The following is a 25,375-nucleotide window of genomic DNA, read 5'->3' as shown; positions in this document are numbered from 1 at the left end:
GCAAATTATTTAAACTATATATGCTTCAGTTTACTATTCATGAATAGTACTTACCTGTTGGGGTTTTCTGAAGATTAAATAAGGAATGTAAAATTCCTGGCATATGATAAGCATTCAACACTTTAGCTGTTATCATTTCTGGAAAAGTATTAGAACTAATACAATAAACATAATATTTCATTCCAAGTTGAGCTGTATGTCTGTGGAATAGAATTCAAATCCATCATTTTACATAAGGTTAGTATTCCTGGACAAGATCATGCTGCATTTAGCTTCTTTAGCAGTTTTATCAGCACTTGTGAGCTATGTCTAAGAGTAAATTGCAAGACAGTTTTACTAACACTGAGCCCATTTACAGGCATTAAAGTGATGATTGCTAAAACACCATTTAGCATGAGCAGTGAGTATATGTTAGCAAGAGGTGACATGTGGTATATTGGAACGAGTCCTTGCTACTAACTAAATGACCATGCGACCTCAGACAAGTCATTTAGCTTCTCAGGGCCAGTGACAAGCAGAATAATGTCCCCAAAGGGGCTTCCATGCCCTAATCTCTGGGGCTGTGAGTATGTTACCTTACATGGCAAAATTGATTCTGAATATGTAATTAAAGTCACTAACCAGTTGAATTTAAAATAGGGAGATCATCCTGGATTATCTAGGTAGCCCCAGTATAACCACACAAGCTCTTAAAAGCAGAAGAGGAATACAGAAAAAGTAGTCAGATAGATTCAAAGCACAAGAAGTATTTAGCACACCATTACTGGCTCTGAAGAGAGAATGAACCATAAGCCAAGGAATACAAGTGGCCTCTAGGAGCTGACACAAATCCCAGCCAACAGCCAGCAAGGAAATGGGACCTCAGCCCTAGAATCTCACAGAACTGAATTTCGTCAATAGCCTGAATGAGCCTAGAAATGTATTCTCCCCCAAAGCCTCCATATAAGAGCCCAGGATGGCCAGTATCTTGCCTTTGGCCTTGTGTGAGCCTAAGCCTGAATGGATTTCTGAGCTACAAAATTGGGAAATAATAAGTGAGTATTTTGGGGTTTTTTTGTTGTTTGTTTGTTTGTTCGTTTGTTTTTGAGATAGAGTCTTGCTCTGGCACCTAGGCTGGAGTGCAGTGGCGTGATCTCTGCTCACTGCAGCCTTGACTTCCTGGGCTCAGGTGACCCTTCCACCTCAGCCTTCTGAGTAGCTGGGACTACAGGCGCACACCACCATACCTAGCTATTTTTTAATTTTTTTTGTAGAGACAGGGTCTCACTGTGTTGCCCAGGCTGGTCTTGAGCTCCTGGGCTCAAGCGATCCTCCTGTCTTGGCCTCCCAAATTGTTAGAATTACAGACATGAGCCATCCACCTGGTGAGTTTTGTTTTAAATCACTAAGTTTGTGGCAATGTTTTACAACAGCAATAGAAAACTAATATGAGGCCTTAGTTCCTTTTGTAAATGATGGGGTAGGAGGCAGTGTGGAGGAAGTCAGAATAAATGAACTTTAAGGTTCCTTCTAGCTCTAAATTCTGTGATTGCAAGATTCTTATTCAGCTGCTAGTTTGTGAGCTAAAGTCCAGCAACCATAAGTAGTATGGACACACACACACGTACACACACATATATACGTGAGCACTTTCAAGGATACATATGAATATGGCAAAGCTAAAGTTTTAGGGGACTCCATAGTGGCAGATCAACCAGATAGATATTGGAGTGGGTTTTGCAACTGCAAAGCAAATGGTTGCAACCAGGGTTAAGGTTTTTCAGGTAGATCCTGAAACTAAGAATCAATGAAAAAGTGACTTTATATGTGCACAGTTTTCATACCCTGAAATGGAAAAATGATCATTATTATTAAACTAGAAGGTCAGTGGTGTCTGTATTTGCGTTATAACAATTTACAGTTCTTATTCTTTTAAAGAATCAATTATGTACCCCATATTTCTAATACATAGTGAATTCTCACAATTTGCTATATTTGGCAAACATACTCTTTGTTTTCTATGAAACTAACTCCAAGGAGCTGAGATTCCAGTAAAACCTGGAAATGAATAGTATATTCCTTAGAGATGTAAACCTCTTTAGAGCAATCTCCAGGGTTCTCTATGCAAGTTGACACTAAATTTATAATGATAATTCTAGCTGGCCTTCCCACCCACCTCTAGCAATTATGCAAAGAAATGCCCAATTTTATGTTATATTGTTGTTTTTTAAAACAGCTTTATGAAGGTGTAATCAACCTACAGTTAAATGCATATATTTGGAATAAGTGTACAATAAGCTTTGATTACACATACATACTTATGAACCCATTATCGCAATCAGGATAATAAACATATTTACCACCCCCAAAAGGTTCCTTGTGGTCTTTTGTAATCTCTCCCTACCTCTCCTTCATCAGACAGCCATTGATCACTGAATGTCACTATAGCTTCATTTGTATTTTCTAGATTTTTATATAAATGAAATTGAGTATACTTTTTAGTCTGGCTTCTTTAACTCAGTATGATTCCCTGAGGTCCACCTATGTTGTTGCATATATCTGTATAGTTTATACTTTTTTATTGCTGAGTAGTAGTCTGTTGTATGGATAGCCTACAATTTGTTTATCTATTCAGCTGTTCATAGACATTTTGATTGTTTTCAGTTTTAGGACATTACAAATAAAGCTGCTGTGAGCATTCACGTGTGTCTCTTTGTATGGACATTTGCTTTCATTTCTTTTGGTAAATACATAGAAGTGAAAAGTCTGGTTTGGATGGTAGGTAGTGCTATGGTTTGGATATGGTTTGTCCCCAGCAAAATTCATGTTTAAATTTGTTCTCCAATGTGGCAGTGTTAGGACTTGGGAGGTGTTTGGGTCATGGAGGTCATGAATAACTTGGGGCTGTTCTTGCAGTAGTGAGTGAGTTCTCGTTTCAAGAGGCTGGATGAGTCCTTACAGGGATGAATCAGTTCTGAGGAGAGTGGGTTGTTATAAAGCCAGGATATCACTTGGGTTTTGCCTCTTTGCTCCTATCCGCTTCCCCTTTGAACTTTCTCCACCAAGTTATGATGTAGCACAAAAGCCCTCATTAGAAGTCAGGGCCACGCTATCATACTAAAACTGTGAGCTAAATAAACTTTTCTTTATAAATTACACAGTCTTAGGTATTCTGTTACAGCAACACAAAATAGACTAATACAGTGCTATGTATTTAAATTTTCAAGAAATTGCCAAGCTTTTCCAAAGTAGTTACAACATTCATTTAACATTCCTACCAGCAGTGTTTGAGAGTTTCAGTTTCTCCACATCCTGACCCACATTTGGTATAGTCAGCCTTTTAAATAGGTATGATGTCTCATTGTGGCTTTAATTTGCACTTTTATAATGACTAATAATGTTGAGCATTTTTTTCATTTGCTTTTCATGTGTGTATCCCTTTTTGTGAAATGCCTGTTAAAATCTTTTGCCCTGTTTTGTTTGTTTGTTTTGTTTTGTTTTGTTTTAAGTATTGAGTTAGAAACTCCTTTCAGGCCAGGCACGGTGGCTCACGCTTGTAATAGCAGCACTTTGGGAGGCCAACGTGGGCAGATCACGAGGTCAAGAGGTTGAGACCATCCTGGCCAACGTGGTGAAACCTCGTCTGTACTAAAAATACAAAAATTAGCTGGGCATGGTGGTGTGCGCCAGTAGTCCCAGCTACTCAGGAGGCTGAGGCAGGAGAATCACTTGAACCCGGGAGGTGGAGGTTGCAGTGAGCCAAGATCGCACCACTGCACTCCAGCCTGGCAACAGAGTGAGACTCCATCTCACAAAAAAGAAAAGAAAAGAAAAATGAAGCTCCTTTCAATATTTGGGGTTTTTTTTAACTTTTATTTTAGGTTCAGAAGTACATGTGCAGGTTTGTTATACAGGAAAACTTCCTTTCAATATTTTGTAAACAAGATCCTTTTTCAACTTTATTGAAGTATAATTGAAAAATTGTATACAGTCAAGGTGAACAATATATTTTGATATATGCATACATTGTGAAATGATTACCACAATGAGGCTAATTAACATATCCATCACCTCACATAGTTACTTCTTTGTGTGGTAAGAATACTTAAGATCCACTCTCTTAGCAAATTTCAGTACATAATATATTATTGTTAACTATAGTCACCATGCTGTACATTAGGTCACCAGAACCTATTCATCTTGCATAACTGCAAGTTTGTACCCTTTAACTAAAATCTTCCTACCCACCCCTCACCCCAGCCCTGCCACTACTGCCCTTGGTGACCACCATTCTACCTTGTTTCAATGAGTCTGACTTTTTGAGAGACCACATATAAGTGAAATCATGCAGTATTTGTTGTTCTGTGTCTGGCTTATTTAACTTAACATAACATCCCTACAAGTTCATCCATGTTTTTGTAAATGAGGGAATTTCTTTCTTTTTAAGGATGAATAATATTCCATTGTATATAAATATATACCACATTTTTTAAACCATTAACCACTAATCATCAAGGAAATACAAATCAAAACCACATGAGATATCACCTCACACCTATTAGGATAGATACTTTTTTTAAGAAAAGATAACAAGTGTTGGCAAGGATGTAGAAAAGTTGGAATTTTTTTTTTTGAGATGGAGTTTTGCTCTTGTTGCCCAGGCTGGAGTGCAATGGTGCAATCTCTGCTCACTGCAATCTCCTTCTCCTGGGTTCAAGTGATTCTCCTGCCTCAGCCTCCCAAGTAGCTGGGATTACAGGCGTGCACCACCATGCCCAGCTAATTTTTTTGTATTTAGTAGATACGGGGTTTCACCATGTTATTCAGGCTGGTCTTGAACTCCTGACCTCAGGTAATCCACCTCGGCCTCCCAAAGTGCTGGGATTACAGGCGTGTGCCACTGCACCCTGCCAGAAGTTGGAATTTTTGTACAGTGCTGGTGGGAATGTAAAATGGTAGAACCCCTGTGGAAAACAGTATGGCAGTTTCTCAAAAAATTAAAGATAGAACTACCATATGATCCAGGAATTCTACTTTTGGGTATATACCCCAAAGAACTGAAAGTAGGATCTGAAAGAGATATCTTCACTCCCATGTTGATTACAGCATTATTCATATTCACTAAAATGTGGAAGGCAACCCAAGTGTCTATTAGTGGATGAATGGGTAAGCAAAATGTGATATATATATATATACATATATATATACACACACGCAAACGTATACAGATACATATATATGATGGAATGTTATTCAACCTTAAAAAGAAGGAAATCCCACTATTTGTGACAGCATGGATGAACCTTGAGGACATTTTGTTAAGTGAAATAAGCTAGTCACAAGACAAATACTGTGTGATTCCACTTCTGTGAGGTATCTAAAATAGTAAAACTAATAGAAACAGAATAGAATGGTGGTTACTAGGGGCTGGGAGGTGGGGGAGAGGGGGTATTGTTGCTCAATACGTATAAAGTTTCAGTTACACGATATGAAAAAGTTCTAGAGATCTGTACAATGTAGTGCCTGCAGCTAACAATAAAGTATTGTGCACTCAAAATTGTGTTAAGAGGGTAGATATCATGTTAAGAATTCTTACACCAAAAAACAAAAGAAAAAAAGCACAGAGACCCAAGGGAGCTTTTGGAGGTGACGGATATATTTATTACATTGATTGTGGTGATATCTTGAGTGTGCACATATGTCAAACTCATCAAATTGTATACATTAAACATGTGCAGTGTTTATTGTATATTAACTATACCACAATAAAAATAAAAAATATAGCCACTCCTACTTTTGATTAATGGTTTCATGGTATATTTTTTTCCAAACTTTTATTTTCAACCCTCCTATATCAGTTTTTTTGAAGTAAGTTTCTTGTACACACTCTACAGTTAGGACATGTTTGGGACTTTCCCCTACCTTTTTGAGATATAATTGACAATTAAAAATTGTGTATATTTAATGTGATGTTTTGATATACCTACATATTGTGAAATGATTACCACAACCAAGCTAATTAACATATCCACTTCATGGTTACCTTTTTTTATAGAGAGGATACTTGAGATCTGTTCTTAGCAAATTTCAAGTATATAATACATTATTATTAACTATAGTCGCCATGCTGTACATTAAGTCTCCAGAACTTAATCAATTTTTAACTTAAAGTGTATATCCTTTGACCAGCATCTCCCCCATTCCCCCACCCAATGAAACTCTGGTAACCACCATTCTATTATCTATTACTATGAGTTTAAACTTTTTTTTAGCCTTCACATATTAGTGAGATCATGTAGTATTTGTTTTTCCGTGTCTGACATATTTCACTTAGCATAGTGTCCTCCGCGTTTATTCACTTTGTTGCACATCACAGGCTTCTTTCATTTGAAGGCTGAATAATATTCCATTGTATGTATATACATCACATTTTACTTATCCATTCATCTGTCAATGGACACTTGGGTTACTTCCACATTTTAGCACATGTGAATAATGCTATGAATATGAGTGCACAAATATCTGTTCGAGACCCTGCTTTCAATTATTTTGGATATGTACCCAGAAGTGATATTGCTGTGTCATATGGTAGTTCTATTTTTAATTTTTTTTGAGAAACTGCCATATTATTTTCCATAGTGGCTGTACCATTTTACATTCCCACCAGCAGTGCACAAGAGTTCCAATTTCTTCACATCCTCACCAACACTTATCTTTTGACTTTTTCACAATAGCCATCCTAACAGGTAGTTTTCATTTGCATCTCCCTGATGGTTGGTGATTTTGAGCATCTTTTTAATATCTTTTGGCTATTTGTATGTTTTCTTTGGGAAAATGTCTGTACAAGTTCTTTGCAGATTTTTAAATCAGGTTGTTTGATTTTTTTCCCCTTGAGTTAAATGAGTTCCTTACAATTTTAGATATTAGCCTCTTATTGGATATATGGTTTGCAAATATTTTCTTCCATTCTGTAAGTTGCCTTTTGATTTTGCTGATTGTTTTCTTGGTGTATTTTTTTTTAGTCTATGCTGCCAATTTCTTTCTTTTAATTGGCATATTTAGACCATTTACATTATTTGTAATTATTGATGTGTTACAGCTTAAGCTTGCCACTTAAATTTTTATTTTCTGATCTATATACACTTTTAAAACCTTTTTAAAAATATTTATTTATTAGAGACAGGGCCTCACTCTTAGCACCCAGGCTGGAGTGCAATTGTAGCTCACTGTAACCTCAGACTCCTGGACTCAAGTGATCTTCCTGCCTCAGCCTCCTGAGTAGCCAGGACCCTAGGCACACACCACCACACTCAGCTAATTTTCTTTTTCTTTTTAATTTTTTTGTAGAGACAGGGTGTCTTACTATGTTGCCCAGGCTCGTCCCGAACTTCTGGCCTCAACTGATCCTCCTGTCTTGGCCTCCCAAGGCACGGAAATTACAGGCGTGAACCATTATACCTAACCTCTGCTTTATATTTTAGTTTACTTTTAGTTTTACAGAAAAATTGGGAAGATAGTACAAAGAGTTGCCATATACACTCTACACAGTTTCCCCTAGTATTGCCATCTTATATAGTACCTTTGTCATAAGTAATGGACCAATATTGATACATCATTATTATTAACCTAAAATCAATGGTTAATTCCAATTTCCTTTGTTGTTACCTAATATCCTTTTTCTATTCCAGAATCTTACCTGTGATATCACATTACATTTAGTTGTCATATCTCCTTGGACTTCATTTGGCCATAGTAGTTTCTTAGATATATTTTTCTTTTTGATGATTTTGACAGTCTTGAGACTACCCATCAAGTATTTTGTAGGATACCTATGTATTAGATTTTTTCTGATATTTTTCTCATGATTAGACTGGGGTTATGGGTTTGGGGAGGAAGATCACTCAGATAAAGTACCATTTTCATTACATCGTTATCAAGGGTATATACTGTCAATATGATTTATGTATGTTGATATTAGCCTTGATTAGTTGGCTGAGTATTCATCAAGTGTTTACACCTTGAAGTTATCCATTTTTCCTTTTTACATACTATATTCTTTGCAGTTGTGGAGTTATGCTCCCCTGCTTAAAGGCATACTTATCTAGATAAATTATTTTGAATTCTTCTACATGGGAAATTTGTCTCTTCTCCCTAATTCGTTAATTTGTTCAACCATTTTTATATCAATACGGACTTGGGAATATGTATTTTATTCTTTAGGTTATAATTCAATACTACATTTTTGTTGTTCAGATTGTTTTAGCTTTGGCCATTGGGAGCTCTTTTAATTGACTCCTGCACCCTTTTGACATACCCCAATCAGTGTGGGTGGTTTTGTTTTTTATAAGCAATTCCTTTCTTTCTGACAACACAGAATGTTCTAGGTTCATCTTGCACATTTCTTGCCCCAATCCTGGAATCAACCATTTCTCCTAGGAGGTCTAGTTCCTCTCACTGGCAAAGTATATTAGTAACCAAGATCTGAATGTTAGTTGTGCTTGTTGCTACTGGGGTGTCATTTCTTCTAGGCCTTATTAGTTGACGGAGCAAAGAAAATATATGTGTGTATACTAATCTGAGTATATAGACATATATATATAAATATTTTGGTATGTAAACATCTGTATCTATATTAAGTTAAACGTAAGTTATTACTGATGTTTCCTATTCTAATTCATTAGCACTTAGATCATTCTAGCCTTGCTTGCAGATTACCCTTGCTTATCTGTTCCCAATCCAACAGTGGGAAACCTGGCTCTTACCATCCATCATTCATTTACTTAATTTTTTAATTGTTCAATTTTAGTATACATGTAAAGCAGTATCAGAATTGTTCACCTGTACCCTCATGAGAAACAACTTTGTCAACTAGAGTACAGTGCTTATGTGCAGTTCTTTTTGCCTTTATTCTTACAGACTCTACTTATTTCCAGAGTTACTTAGGTCAGTATCTAGTCCTCCTATTTCCTTTAGTGAAGTTGTTCCACACATTTGTTAGAGTCTCTTGTCACAGTCTCTATTATATCTGAGGATTCCCCCAACCTCCCAAATTATATATATATATATAAAATATCAAATTATATATAATATATATAATACCTAGTTATATATAACTATATATATAATTTGTATGCATTGAGATTGACTTGTTGTGTGGTAAAGTCCTGTGGATTTTGACATGCATAATGACACGTATCTGCTATTATAGTATCACACGTAGTATTTTCACCATCCTAAAAATCCTCTGTGCCTCATCTCTTCATCTTCCTGAGATGCTGGCAACCACATCTTTTCACTCTCTATTTTTCTTACTGGCTCTTCTTTTTGCTTTTGTGCCATTTCTGCAATGTCACATAATTGGAATCATTCAGTATGTAGTCTTTTTAGATTGGCTTCTTCCACTTAGCAATATGAATTTCAGGTTCCTCTATGTCTTTTTTGTGACTGATAGCTCATCTCTTTGTTTATCTATTTACCTATTGGAGGACATCTTGGTTGCTTCCTGTGTTTGGTGATTATCAATAAAGTTGCTGTAAACATTCACGGGAAGATTTTTGAGTAGATCTAAGTTTTCAAATCAAGTGGGTAAATTCCTAGCAGTGAAATGGCTCCTGTAGGTAAGGTATCATTTCTCTTTCTGTGCATTCAAGATTTTTTTCTTTGTCTTAGGATGGAATTTGACTATGACATGTCTTAGGATGGAATTTCTTTGGATTTATCATGTTTGGAGTTTGCACCGCTCTTTGAATCTCTAGGTTTATGTTTTTTCCCAAATATTTGAGACATTATTTCTTTGAATATTTATTTGTTCTGCCCTACCTTTCTTCTCCTCTTCCAGGGTTCTGATGACATAATGTACATTTTTTGTTGTCTTACACGTCGCTGAGGCTCCATGCAGTTTTTTTTTCAGTCTGTTTTCTCTCTGTTGTTCAGATGAGGTAATTTCTACTTTTTTATTTTTCCTTCTCCTTCCTTCCTTCCTTCCTTTTCTTTCTTTTTCTTCCTTTCTTTCCTTTCTTTCTTTTCTTTGAAACAAGGTCTCACTCTGTTGCCCAGGCTGGAGTGCAGTGGTATAATCATAGCTCACTGCAGCCTCAAACACATGGACTCAAGCAGTCCTCCCACTTCAGCCTGCCAAATAGCTGGGATTACAGGCACCAACCACTGCACATAACTCTACTTTATTTCAAATTCACTTATTCTTTCCTTTGTCCTCTCCATTCTGCTGTAAGCTCATCTGTTGAGTTATTTTTAAGATTTTGGTTATTGTATATACTAGTTTTCTGAGTATTGTAACAAATTACCACAGATGGGATGACTTAAAACAACAGAAATTTATTCTCTCACAATTTTGGAGGCCAGAAGTCCAAAATCAAGGTATTTGTTGGCTTTTTTTTTTTAGATTAAAAAGACTTAGATATTTTAATCAATTGAAATGTATGAATCTTATTCAGATCCTGAGTCAAACACTTAAAATCAATAATGTATGAGACAGTTACATAAATGTGAACAGTAATTAAATACTTAAGAATATTGAGGATATCTTGTTAAGTTTTAAACTGTAATGATAGTATTATGTTTATGATTTTTACAAAAAATAGTTTCTATCTTTAAGAGATAGATAATTAAAATACTTGGAAGTGGATTAATAGGATGTCTTGAATTTACTTCAAAAGCATGAGTGTGTGTGTGTGTCTGTGTGTGTGTCTCTGTGTGTGAATGAGGTGGAAAGATGGGTTAAATAAAATTGGCTTTGATGTTGTTACAGCCTGATAATAATGATGTGTAGGTTCATTACATTATTTTCTCCACTTTGGTATATATTTGAAATTTGTGTAGCAGAGAGTTAAGGAAATACTTATTGATTCAAAGTAAACCGATCTAATCATAACCCTTGCAAATGGATGTCTACCTATGTATAAATAAGGTACTTCTTTTTTTAAAACTATGGGTCTCTTTTTATTAAGGCGAGATCTCTTGCAACTGGTGTTTCATGAATAGAGTTGCCAGATAAAATACAAGACTCGGTTAATTTGAAATTTCAGATAAACAATGTCTAGTATTTTAGAATAAGCACATCCCAGCTATTGCACTGGACACACTAATACTAAAAAAATAATTTTTGTTTATCTGAAATTCTAATTTTACTGGGGCATTCTGTATTTTTTTTTTTTTTTTACTTTAAGTTCTGGATACATGTGCAGAACGTGCAGGTTTGTTACATAGGTATATGTGTGCCATGGTGGTTTGCTGCACCTATCAACCTGTCACCTAGGTTTTAAGCCCCACATGCATTAGCTATTTGTCTTGATGCTCTCCTTCCCCTCACCCTCACCTCCCGACAGGCTCCAGAGTGTGTTGTTCCTTTCCCTGTCTCCATATGTTCTCATTGTTCAACTCCCACTTATGAGTGAGAACATGTGGTGTTTGGTTTTCTGTTCCTGTGTTAGTTTGCTGAGATGATGGCTTGCAGCTTAATCCATGTCCCTGCAAAAGACATGATCTCATTCATTTTTATGGCTGCGTAGTATTCCATGGTGTATATGTACCACATTTTCTTTATCCAGTCTATCATTGATGGGCATTTGGGTTGGTTCCATGTCTTTGCTGTTGTGAATAGTGCTGCAATAAACATACGTGTGCATATATCTTTATAATAGAATGATTTATATTCCTTGGGTATATACCCAGTAATGGGATTGCTGGGTCAAATGGTATTTCTGATTTTAGATCCTTGAAGAATCACCACACTGTCTTCCACAATGGTTGAACAAAAGCTGAAATTGACAAATGGGGTATAATTAAACTGAAGAGCTTCTGCACAGCAAAAGAAACTATCATCAGAGTGAGCAGGCAACCTACAGAATGAGAAAAAATTTTTGCAATCTACCCATCTGACAAAGGTCTAATATCCAGAATTTACAAAGAATTTAAATTTACAAGAAAAAAAAAACCTTGTCAAAAAGTGGGCAATGAATATGAACAGACACTTCTGAAAAGAAGACATTTATGTGGCCAACAAACATATGGAAAAAAGCTCAGCATTACTGATCATTAGAGAAATGCAAATCAAAACCACAATTAGATACCATCTCACACCAGTCAGAATGGCAATTATTAAAAAGTCAAAAAACAACAGATGCTGGCGAGGCTATGGAGAAATAGGAACACTTACACTGTTGATGGGAATGTAAATTAGTTTGACTTTTCATTTTATTGAAGTTTTCTTTGCAGTGCAGAAGCTTTTTAGTTTGACATAGTCCCATTTGTTTGTTTTTGCTTTAAAAATTTTTTTTGCCTTTGCTTTTGGTGTTCTATACAAAAAAATCCTTACCAAGGCCAATTTCAAAGAGCTTCTTCCCTATTTTTTTCTTTTAGGAGTTCTACAGTTTCAAGTATTACATTTAAGTTTTTAATGCACTTTCTGTTGATTTGTGTGTGTGCTGTAGGATGTGTTCAATTTATTCTTTTGCAGGTGGATGTCCAGTTGTCCAAACACATTTTTTTTTGAGACAGAGTCTCACTCCAACACCCAAGCTAGAGTGTGGTGGCATGATCTTGGCTCACTGCAACCTGTGTCTCCTGGGTTCAAGTGATTCTTGTGCCTCAGCCCTCCCCGCATAGCTGGAATTACAGGCATGTGCCACCACATCCAGCTAATTTTTGTATTTTTAGTAGAGATGGGGTTTTGCCACATTGGCCAGGCTGGTCTCAAACTCCTGGCCTCAAGCGATCCACCAACCTCGGCCTTCTGAAGTGCTGGGATTACAGGAGTGAGCCACTGCACCCAGCCCAAGCACAAAAGAGACTGTGCTTTTTCCATTGTGTATTTTGGGCACCTTTGTCAAATACTAGTTGGCTATATATACTTGGTTTTTTGGGGTTTTTTTCTGGGCTCTCGATTCTGTTCCATTGGTCTATGTGTCTGTTTTTATGCCAGTACCATACTGCTTTGATTACTATAGCTTTGTAGTATAATTTGAAATCAGAAAGCGTGATGCCTCCAATTTTGTTTTTGTTTTTAAGGTTGCTTTGGCACAGAGTCTTTTGTGGTTCCATACAAATTTTAATATTAGCTTTTCTATTTCTGTGAAAAATGCCATTGGACTTAAGATAGGGATTTCCTTGCATTTGTAGATCACTTTGAGTAGTGTGGACATTTTAATAATACTAATTCTTTCAATCAATGAACACAGGATATCTATTTTATTTTTGTTTTCTTCAATTTCATCAATGTTTTTTAGTTTTCAGTGTACAGATGTTTCACCTACTTGGTTACTTTTATTCATATATATTTGAGATGGAGTCTCACTCACTCTGTCACCCAGGCTGGAGATCTCGGCTCACTGCAACCTCCACCTCCTGGGTTCAAGTGATTCTCCTGCCTCAGCCTCCTGAGTAGCTGAGATTACAGGCATGCACCACCATGCCCAGTTAATTTTTGCATTTTTAGCAGAGACAGGGTTTCACCATGTTGGCCAGTCTGGTCTCGAACTCCTGACCTCAAGTGATCCACCCTCCTCAGCCTCTCAAAGTGCTGGAATTACAGGCATGAGCCACTGTGCCCAACTATTTTATATATTTTTGATGCTATTGTAAATAGGATTGTTTTCTTGATTTCCTTTTTGGATATTTTATTGTTGGCACAAAGAAACGCTTCTGGGTTTTGTATGTTGATTTTGTAACCTGCAACTTTACTGAAGTAATTTATTAGTTCTTAGAGTTCTTTGGTGGAGTCTTTAGAGTCTTCCGTATATAGGATCACTTGGTCCCATGGAAACAGTTTTTTAGCTCTTCCATTTGGGTCTTTGATCCATTTTGAATTAATTTTTGTATATGATATGAGATAAGAATCCAATTTCATTCATTTGCATGTGGAAATCCCGTTTTCCTAGCACCATTTGCTGAAAGGACTGTCCTATCACCATTTGCTGAAAGGACTGTCCTATCACCATTAAATGGTCCTGGCACCTTTGTCACAAATAATTTGATGATATATAACAAGATTTATTTCTGCGTTCTCTATTCCATTCCATTGGTCTATATGTCTATCTTTATGCCAGTTCCACACATTTTCATTACTATGGCTTTGTAATAAGTTTTGAAATCAGAAAGTACAAATCCTCTAATTTTGCTCTTTGTTTTCAAGTTTGTTTAGGGCTTTTGGGGTCCCTTGAGCAAAGTCCATATTAATTTTAGGATGGATTTTTTCCATTTCTGCAAAACACATCATTGGGATTTTGGGGTTTTTTTCAGACAGGGCCTCAGTCTGTCGCCCAGGCTGGAGTGCAGTAGCCCGATCACAGCCCACTGCAGCCTTGACCTCCCAGGGTCAGGCAGTCCTCCCACTTCAGCCTTGCTAGTAGCTGAGACTACAAGCATGCGCCATCACAGCTGCCAATTTTTTGTAGAGACAGGCTTTTGCCATCTTGCCCAAGCTAGTCTCAAACTCCTAGGCTCAAGCAGTCTGCCCACCTCAGCCTCTCAAAGTGCTGGGATTACAGGCGTGAACCACCACACCTGGCCTGGGATTTTAATAGGGATAAATATCTGCAAATCTGTAGATCACTTTGGGAATATCAACACATTAACAATATTTAGTCTTCCAACCCGTGAACTGTTTACATTTTTAAATAGAAGATACTAGTGTATTATTTGTGTAATCAAACATAAACAAGTTTTTAGAAAGAGGTTTTGGCCGAGGAACTAGTAAATTTCTCATGTCTTTTCATGTAACTTCACTGGATCTCGGTAACCAATTTTTAAAGCTTGCAATCAGTTCTGGGAAAAACATAAATTAGATATTAGGAGAGAAATGATTATCTGACTATAGGTGTTAATAGAAAATGTTTATGGCTTAATAAACTGAAATTAAATTAAATCATGTAATATTGACAAATTAAGCTTATTTAGACATTTAATAACATTACCTGAGTTCAGATATGCTTTTATCTGGCTTATTTTGCTCACACTGAAATACATTTTAGTCCCATTGATCAATAACCAGTTTTTCTGTTCGCATTGCTTAAAATTGTGTCTCATTGTACAGAGAATCTGTTGGGTTTCATTTCCTGACGATTATTCATGAACGTTTTAAGTCATCGGAAAATATTGGAAAAGTTCTGATACTCCATACTGACATGCTTTTACAAAGGAAGGAAGAACTTCTTGCCAAGGAGAAGATTGAAGAAATCTTTTTAGGTCAGTAGGATTTTCGCAAGTGTTTTAGAAACGTATTAATTTGTGTATAATTCTTAGATGTCAGAGTAATAGCAAAATCCTCAAGTCAATGGATTTCTTCCACTTCCTTTTTTTCTTCCTCCCTAATGGTCTTTTAACAGTAACACCTCACCTGTCCACATCCCACAAATTGGGCAAGTGGAATGAGAAACTAAGCAAAAATAAGAAACCATCATTGAAAACAGACAAACTTCTGAGCTTAAAGCTCACATGTGGTGGAATATTGTGAGGTTACAAGCCTAATTTAATATCTCTAGTTTGATCTCAATTTAGCTGTGTACCTTTGAACAAGTCAAAGGACCTTGATTTTTTTTTCAACTATAAAATGATGATTGTGAACTAAACTCCTGGTTTCTAACTTCTTTTCAGCAGCAGCATCCTTTTGTGATGCAATCTTATATGAACCCCACCCTGAATGAAATAGATTAGAGTTTTTCTGGTTAAAGCAGAGATGTAGAGCCAAATCTGCTCAGCATTCCCCTAATCCTCTGCCTCCCTGCAGAACTTCTGTACCCTGAAGAACACAGATAGTAAGATCCCTTTCTTAGAAAATTCTCTTCACCACTTCGTCCTTCCAACTAAGTGCATGTAGAGATATAATTGGAGTGATAGTCACTAAATGTTAACTCTGGGGTTTATTCTGAATGGTGGCATTTTAGGTGACGTGTTGCTTTCTTCTAAATACTCTACCATATTGTTTGAATTTTTATAAGCACAATTCATGTTTCTATAAAAACAAAGTCATTAATTTTTTAAAGGAAGTCATCTGAGTAGATGATCTCTAAGAGCCATATTTTACTGATAACACCCTCCCTCCAGGCATTTACCAATTATTTTTAGACCCAGTTTTGATAAACTTGGTTATCCGGTTTTCCTACTCTTAACATTTTGATGGTAGCACTTTGCAAATAGAGAAAAGGTTTAAAGGGAAGTATACAGATAGCCTGACCATAGGGAGGAAAAAAAACTCTACCAATTTTATAAAACAGATTCAAATTTTTAATACAACAATCTGTACTGTATAACAACTCCCAAAGGCATCACTGTGATATATTAATAGTACAATAAAATAAAATAGTTGTTAATGTTGACCTCAAGTGGTCAAGAAAAAGTTGAATTATGCTTAAGAAAACTAGGAAGTTTGTTTACTTTTTAGAAAATTTAAGAACTTTCATGAAAATATTCAGACTTTTTAAATTCAGAAGTGATTTTTATTTAAAGAAAGTAAACTGCCAGTTGACCAGAAAACTTGATTACACAGAATTACTCATTTTCCTAAAATTCCACTTAGACTGTTCTATTATGACATCTAAGTTACACTTACACTCTCAAAGTATTATAATATTTCAAGTAGATACATTTAGTAGCTGTTTACTCTCATGTGAGTATTTTTAAGTAAGTCATGGAACAAACTACATTTGCTGACTGGGCTAGAGGGTCAGAGATTCCTAATGTTCTAGTCAAGACTTTTGTGGAAATTGATAGTTTATGCCAAAGGGCAGAAGAGGAGGTGCAGAATTCTATTATAGTTTAGACTTTACCTTAATGTGCTAATGTATTTGAACTCTGTAAATGTCTAGACCAGAAACAATCAACGCAAGTTAAGATTTAAAGTAATAAAGTTTATGTGTAAGCATGGTCTTAAAGTATTTTACAAAGGCTTTAAGGCATAATTGGCCTTTCTTGTGAACTTGATCTGATCTATTTAGCACATAATAGTATAAGCACTTCTTATTAATGATTTCTGGCATTGCTGTCTGCTCATTCACAATAACCTTATTAAGGCACCAGATGATGATCTAATTTGGAATGTGGAAAATCAGTTAAAAAGAGAGTAGGCTGGAAAACTATCACAGATTGATGGGAGAATTACTGTGATTCTAGCAAACTCTGATTGCATTATATTATCAATTATGGTAGTAAACCTAAAATTGATGATGAAAACCTGTCTGAATTTTTTTGTGTGTAGCCATTACTTAAAGATTATAGGTTCTGAGTATAGTTAGCTCTCTTTACTTAATGTAATAGACCGAGATTCTTTTTTTTTTTTTTTTTAATTGATCATTCTTGGGTGTTTCTCGCAGAGGGGGATTTGGCAGGGTCACAGGACAATAGTGGAGGGAAGGTCAGCAGATAAACAAGTGAACAAAGGTCTCTGGTTTTCCTAGGCAGAGGACCCTGCGGCCTTCCGCAGTGTTTGTGTCCCTGGGTACTTGAGATTAGGGAGTGGTGATGACTCTTAAGGAGCATGCTGCCTTCAAGCATCTGTTTAACAAAGCACATCTTGCACCGCCCTTAATCCATTCAACCCTGAGTGGATACAGCACATGTTTCAGATAGCACAGGGTTGGGGGTAAGGTCACAGATCAACAGGATCCCAAGGCAGAAGAATTTTTCTTAGTACAGAACAAAATGAAAAGTCTCCCACGTCTACCTCTTTCTACACAGACACGGCAACCATCCGATTTCTCAATCTTTTCCCCACCTTTCCCCCCTTTCTATTCCACAAAACCGCCACTGTCATCATGGCCCGTTCTCAATGAGCTGTTGGGTACACCTCCCAGACGGGGTGGTGGCCGGGCAGAGGGGCTCCTCAGTTCCCAGTAGGGGCGGCCGGGCAGAGGCGCCCCTCACCTCCCGGACGGGGCGGCTGGCCGGGCGGGGGGCTGACCCCCCCCACCTCCCTCCCGGACGGGGCGGCTGGCCGGGCAGAGGGGCTCCTCACTTCCCAGTAGGGGCGGCCGGGCAGAGGCGCCCCTCACCTCCCGGACGGGGCGGCTGGCCGGGCGGGGGGCTGACCCCTCCCACCTCCCTCCCGGACGGGGCGGCTGGCCGGGCGGGGGGCTGACCCCCCCACCTCCCTCCCGGACGGGCGGCTGGCCGGGCGGGGGGCTGACCCCCCCACCTCCCTGCCTGACGAGGTGGCTGCCGGGCAGAGACGCTCCTCACTTCCCAGACGGGGTGGCTGCTGGGCGGAGGGGCTTCTCACTTCTCAGACAGCGCGGCTGCCGGGCGGAGGGGCTCCTCACTTCTCAGACGGGGCGGTTGCCAGGCAGAGGGTCTCCTCACTTCTCAGACGGGGCGGCCGGGCAGAGACGCTCCTCACTTCCCAGATGGGATGGCGGCCGGGAAGAGGCGCTCCTCACTTCCTAGATGGGATGGCGGCCGGGCAGAGACGCTCCTCACTTTCCAGACTGCGCAGCCAGGCAGAGGGGCTCCTCACATCCCAGACGATGGGCGGCCGGGCAGAGACGCTCCTCACTTCCCAGACGGGGTGGTGGCCGGGCAGAGGCTGCAATCTCGGCACTTTGGGAGGCCAAGGCAGGCGGCTGGGAGGTGAAGGTTGTAGCGAGCCGAGATCACGCCACTGCACTCCAGCCTGGGCACCATTGAGCACGGAGTGAATGAGACTCCGTCTGCAATCCCGGCACCTCAGGATGCCGAGGCTGGCGGATCACTCGCGGTTAGGAGCTGGAGACCAGCCCAGCCAACACAGCGAAACCTCGTCTCCACCAAAAAAATACGAAAACCAGTCAGGCGTGGCGGCGCGCGCCTGCAATCGCAGGCAGTCGGCAGGCTGAGGCAGGAGAATCAGGCAGCAGTACCGTCCAGCTTCAGCTCGGCATCAGAGGGAGACCGTGGAGAGAGGGAGAGGGAGACCGTGGGGAGAGGGAGAGGGAGAGGGAGAGGGAGAGGGAGACAATAGACCGAGATTCTTATTTTCAGAGCTTTTTTTTTTTTTCAGCTCACCAAACAGGAAGACAACTGACAGCAGAATCAATGAACTGGTTACACAACATTCTGTGGAGACAAGCTGCCAGTAGTTTTGAGGTTTGAGAATAATCTCTTTTTCATTCTTTATTTCTCCACTGCAACAAAAAATAGTGCATTCACTATAAAAATAAAAGAGCATCAAATACTTCAATAATCTCTGTCTGTTTAGATACCATATATTTATTAAATATTCACAATATAGAGTGTTAATGAGCATTGTGCAAGAGTTTATTAAAAATAATAAGACATGATTCCTCTCCATTGAGAGCTTACAGTGTAGGGAAATGTCATCGCTGATATTAAGATATAAGAATGTAATTTTTTTAACATGAGGGCTGAGAAAGAGTTTTATTCCCTTTAAAAACTTAATGGTGTAATAAAAAATGGAAAAAAAAACCTTTACAAGACAACTCAGGTTTCCTGTAAACCTAAAGATAAGTTTTTTTAAAGCAAAGAACAATCATTTATAATTTTGGTATATTTCCTTCTAATCTTTGTGTATTATACATTTGTGTCCCTGTGTATATAAATCAGATGGGACGTACCATTAAAAAAAAAGTTGTGTTTGCTTCCACTTGCAATTAATATGTAGTAACAGGGACTGTTTTATGTCCCTTCTTGAACAACAAGCCCCTCTCCACAAAGGACAAGACAAAATAGACGAAAAGAAAAAAAAAGGCTTTTATGACCCTGAACATCAGGCAATGAAGGAGAATGGTCCCTGGGAGATAAGAAATAAAGCGAGCATTGGCCGGGCGTGGTGGCTCACGCCTGTAATCCCAGCAATTTGGGAGGCTGAGGTGGGCAGATCACAAGGTCAGGAGATCGAGAACATCCTGGCTAACATGGTGAAAGCCCATCTCTACTAAAATACAAAAAATTAGCTGGGCATGGTAGCACACGCCTGTAGTGTCCGCTACTCAGGAGGCTGAGGCAGGGGAATCGCTTGAACCCGGGAGGCAGAGGTTGCAGTGAGCCGAGATCGCGCCACTGCACTCCAGCCTGGCGACAGAGCAAGACTCCATCTCAAAAAAAAAAAAAAAAAAAAAAGGAAAGAAAAGAAAGAAAGAAAGTGAGCATTACAATTGTGCAGCTTACTGCTTTGAGTTTCCAGGGTATAGCACAAGAAGGGGATCTGAAGCAGAGCCTGGCAAGCGTCCTGATTTGAGATGCAGCTGAGTCTGAGGAGACCAAGGCAGCCAGAATTTATAAGACAAAGTACTGAAGAGGACCACATAGCGTAGATTAGGCATTGTAAAAGAAAAGATTGATAAACTTGAAGTCAGAGCAAAGAAGCTATTCAAAATTAAACACACTGAATAAAAGACTTAAAAGAGCTTCAGTGAGATGAGGGTCCTCTTCCAATGTTTAACAGAGTTCTGATCAGGACATACATGAAGCAAAATTACCTGAAGCTAGGAGAATAACCATCTAAAAATATTAGCGGGAACAGTGCCTAGCACTCACATGGGGTTGAGAATAAGGCCTGTTCTTATCACCCAGTCTGGAAAACCTCTAATTCATGGGGCATTGGGAAGAAAACTCAGAAGGGTCTTGTCTCAGAAGAGGGGAATAATTAGTCCTACACTAAGTCCTGCTCCAGAACTACCTTAAAAATTATAAACCTATGGTGTGAAAGGATCAAATTGATCCCAAGGAACTTAATTGCTTCCCAGAGCAGAGTTCAAGAATATTTATAGGAATATAAAACTGTACAGCACCCAACAGGATAAAGTTTACAATGTCTGGCATCCAGCAAAAAAATTACTGAGCATGTGAAGAGGCATGAAAATGCAACCTATAATGAGGAGAATAAGCAATCAATCGATACTGACCCAGAACTGACATAGAAGTTAGCATTAACAGAGGACATCTCTTATAATTGTATTTCATGCATTCAAAAAGTTAAGTGGAGGCATGGAAGATACGTAAAGACCCAAATCAAACTTATAAAGATGAAAACTCTGTTTAGGATGAGAAGCACATTGGACAGTATTAACATCATATTAGACATTGTAGAAGAAAAGACTGATGAATTTGAAGTTATAGCAAAGAAGCTATTGAAAATGAAATACACAGGGAAAAAACCCTTAAAAAAATTAAAAGAGTTCAGTGAGGTTAGGGACAATTTTAGGTAGCTTAATATACGGGTAACTGGGATTCCCAAATGAGGATGGAGATAATAAATATTTGAAGAAATAAAACTTTCAAAACTTAATGAAAACTCTAAATGCACAGATAGATAGAAAAATCTTAACAAACCCCAAACACAAGAAACACAAAACGACACCAACGCACGTAATCAAAATTCTCAAAACCAGTGATAAAGAGAATGTCCTAAAAGCAGCCAGATAAAAGTGACACCTTATATACAGAGGAATAAATTAAAGAGAACGTCAGATTTCTTGTTGGAAGTAATGCAAGCAAGAACTCAGTGGAGCAGCATCTTTAAAATAATGAAAGAAAATTAAAACCTGTCAGCCAAAATTTCTGTATCCAGCACAAGTATTGTTTAAAATGAAAGTAGTTGGTACAAATGTAAAATAGTGTAGCCACTATGGAAAACAGTATGGCAGCTCTTCAAACAATTAAAAATGTTATTAACATATGATGCAGCATTTTCACTTTTGCTTGTATATCCAAAAGAATTAAAAGCAAGATATTTGCACACCCATGTTTATAGCAGCCAAAAGGTGGAAGCAACCCAAGTTCCATCAACAAATGAGTGGATAAATAAAATGGGGTATACTCAAACAATGAAATATTACTTAGCCTTAAAAAGCAAGGACTTCTGATACATGCTATAACATGGATGAGCCTTGAGGACATTATGCTAAGTGACATAAGCCTGTCACAAAAAACAATACTGTGTGGTTCCACTTACATGAGGTACCTAGAGTAGTCAAATCCGTGGAGAATGAAAGTAGAATGGGCCGGATGCGGTGGCTCACACCTGCAATCCTAGCACTTTGGGAGGCCAAGGCGGGTGGATCACTTAAGGTCAGGAGTTCGAGACCAGCCTGGCCAACATGGTGAAACCCCGTCTCTACTAAAAATACAAAAATTAGCCAAGTGTGGTGGTGCACGCATGTAGTTCCAGCTACTCAGGAGGCTGAGGCAGGAGAATCACTTGAACCCAGGAGGCAGATGTTGCAATGAGCCAAGTTTGTGCCACTGCACTCCAGCCTGGGCAACAGAGCGAGACTCTGAGAAAAAGAAAAGAAAAGAAACAGAAAGGAAGAGGGGAAGAGAAGAGAAGAGAAACGAGAAGAGAAAGAAGAGAGAGAGAGAGAGGAAAAGAAAAGAAAAAGAAAAAGAAAAGAAAGAAAGGTGGTTTCCAGGGGCTAGGAGGAGGGGAAAATGTGGAGTTGTTTAATGAGTATAGAGTTTCAGTTTTACTAGATGAAAAAGTTCTGGAGATTGGTTGCAGAGTAGTCAATTTTATGCTATGTGTTTTTTACCATAATAAAAATATGTTTTTAAAAAATGAAAGCAAAATAGTCTTCCAGACATTTAAAAGCTGAAATAACTAATCACTCAAAGATCTACATTACAAGGAAGTCCTCTGAGCAGAAGGAAACTTACACCAGATGGAAATATGAATCTATACAAATGAATAAAGAATACCAGAAATGGTAATTATATGAGTAATTGATAAGATTTTTTTCGTATTATTACAATCTCTTTAAAAGATAGTTTATTGCTTAAACAAAAATAATAACATTGTATTCTGCAGTTTATAACCTGTAAAAGTAAGATGCATGACAAGAACATATAGGCCAAGAAGAGAGAAATGGAAGTATACCATAAGTGAGGTGGTATAACATCACTTGAAGATAGACTATGATAAGTTAAACATGTATACTATGTACCCTAAAACAACCATTAAAATAGCAAAACAAAGAGTTTTTTTTAAAAATGAGATAAAATCAAATCATAAAAATATTCAAATAATCTAAAATAAGGCAGAAAAAGGAAAGACGGATCAAAAAAGATGGCACAAATAGAAGACAAATAGCAAGATGATAGATTTACATCTAAGCATATGAAAAAAAAATCACATTAAGTGAAAATGACCTCAAGACCCCAGTGAAAAGGCAGAGATTGTCAAACTGGATAAAAGAGCAAGACCCAAGTTTATGTACTGCTTAAAAGAAATGTACTTTAAACATAAAGATACAAATTGGTTATAAACAAAAGCATCAGAAAAATATAGAGAGACAAGATTGTTCTAAAATTTATATATAAAACAATGGAATGAAAATAGCCAAGATACATTATTAAAAAGTCAAAAAATAATAGATGCTGGCAAGGTTGTAGAGAAAAAGGAACACTTATATACTGTTGGTGGGAGTGTAAATTAGTTCAACCACTGTGGAAAGCAGTATGGCTATTTCTGAAAGAACTAAAAGCAGAATACCATTTGGCCCAGCAATCCCATTACTGGATATATACCCAGAGGAATAAAAATCATTCTATCATAAAGACACATACATGCAAATGTTCATTGCAGCACTATTCACAATAGGAAAGACATGGACTCAACCTAAATGCCCATCAATGACAGACTGAATAAAGAAAATGTGGTACATATACACCATAGAATATTATGCAGCCATAAAAAAGAAAAGATCATGTCTTTTGCGGGAACATTGATGGAGCTGGAAGCTATCGTCCTGAGAAAACTAACACAGGATCAGAAAGCCAAATAATGCATGTTTTCACTTATAAGTGGGAGTTAAATGATAAGAACTTATGAACACAAAGAAGGAAACAACAGACACTGGTGTCTACTTGAGGGTGGAGGATGAGAGAAGGGAGAGGAGCAGAAAAGATAACTATTGGGTACTAGGCTTAATATCTGGGTGATGCAATAATATGTACAACAAACCCCTGTGACATGTGTTTACCTATGTAACAAACCTTCACCTGTACCCCTAAACCTAAAATAAAAATTATAAAAAGAAAATAGCCAAAACAACCTGAGAGAGAATAGAACAGAAAGAATTACCCTATTCAATTTCAACACTTTTTATATAGCTACAGTAATCTAGACTGTGTGGTATCATTAGAGACATAGATCCATAGATCAATGGAACAGAATGGAAAACCAAAAAATAATCCCACACAAATATGCTCAACTGATTTTTGAGAAAGCACAAAAGTAATTCAATGGAAAAAGATGGTGTTTTCAACTAATGGTGCTGGAGAAATTGGACATCCATAGAAAAAAAAAAACCCTTGACCTTAACTTCACATTTTATACAAAAATTAAATAGATTATAAAATTAGATGTAAAATGTGCAATAAAAATACATAGGAGAAAATCTTCAGGATCTAGGCCAGGTCATGTGCAGCCTATTCCCTGCATGAACTGCACTTGATATGTGACTAAAGACAAGGATGTTAAGAAGTTTATCATTCAAAATATGGTAGAAAGCCAAGTGTGGTGGCTCCTGCCTGTAATCCCAGTGCTTTGAGAGGCTGAGGCGGGAGGATTGCTCGAGCCTAGGAGTTTGGGACCAACCAGCCTGGGCAATATAAAGGAGCACCATCTATACAAAAATAAAAAATTTAGCCTGGTGTGGTAGCATGCACCTGTAGTCCCAGCTACTCAGGAGGCTGAAGCAGAAGGATCCTTTGAGCCCAGGAGTTTAAGGCTGCAGTGAGCTGTGATCATGCCACTTCACTCCAGCCTGGGTCACAGAGCAAGATCCTGTCTCAAAAGCTAAAAACAAAGAAAACAACAAAACATAGTAGAGGCCACAGCTATCAGGGACATAGCTGAAGCCAGTGTCTTTGATGTCTATGTGCTTCCCAAGCTGTTTGTGAAGCTACATTACTGCATGAGTTGCACCATTCACAGCAAGGTAGTCCAGAATCAATCTCGTGAAGCCGGTAAGGACCAAACACCCCAACCCTGATTTAGACCTGTGGGTGCTGCCCACCAACCTCCACCAAAGCCTACATATGGAGCTGAGTCCTTAAGGACTGAAAAAAAAGCTATCCTCTGAAGAAAATAAAGTGAAAATTATACTTTAAAAAAAAGAGATCCTGTTGAATAGATGAAAAAAGCTAGAGACTGGGAGAAAAATTTTCAGACCATGTATACAATAATGGGCTAGTAGCTAAAACATAGAAAGAACTCTCTAAACTCAATGTACAAAGAAAAACAATTCAAAAATTAGCAAAGGATATGAACAGACATTTCACCAAAAAGGGATATATGCATGAAAATAAGCACCCAAAAAAGATGACTTATGAGTCATTAGGGAAATGCAAACGAAAACCCCAAGGAGATACCAATACATAATTCTTAGAATAGCCAAAATGGAAAAGATTAACCATACCAAATGCTGACGAAGATGTTGAGGAACTGGAA

General features: G+C 38.0%; 1 protein-coding gene across 7 annotated transcripts in view; it reads left to right on the top strand.

Annotated features, from left to right (window-relative positions):
* The window catches only part of TEX11 (testis expressed 11), a 397,485-nt gene that overhangs the window by 210,858 nt on the left and 161,252 nt on the right, over positions 1-25,375 (top strand). For 6 of the 7 annotated variants that reach the window (XM_017029649.1, XM_017029650.1, XM_017029651.2 and 3 more), the window contains 2 exons: positions 15,029-15,180; positions 18,965-19,050. In XM_017029649.1, coding sequence (XP_016885138.1) covers positions 15,029-15,180; positions 18,965-19,050 — 238 coding nt within the window. Of the gene's footprint in view, positions 1-15,028; positions 15,181-15,686; positions 15,750-18,964; positions 19,051-25,375 lie in introns of those variants that run through there. The other variant, XM_017029652.2, reaches the window with a different exon arrangement.

This window comes from Homo sapiens, chromosome X (genome assembly GCF_000001405.40).
Source record: "Homo sapiens chromosome X, GRCh38.p14 Primary Assembly".
Lineage (NCBI taxonomy): Eukaryota > Metazoa > Chordata > Mammalia > Primates > Hominidae > Homo > Homo sapiens.
This window is presented reverse-complemented; position numbering and strand designations above follow the sequence as displayed.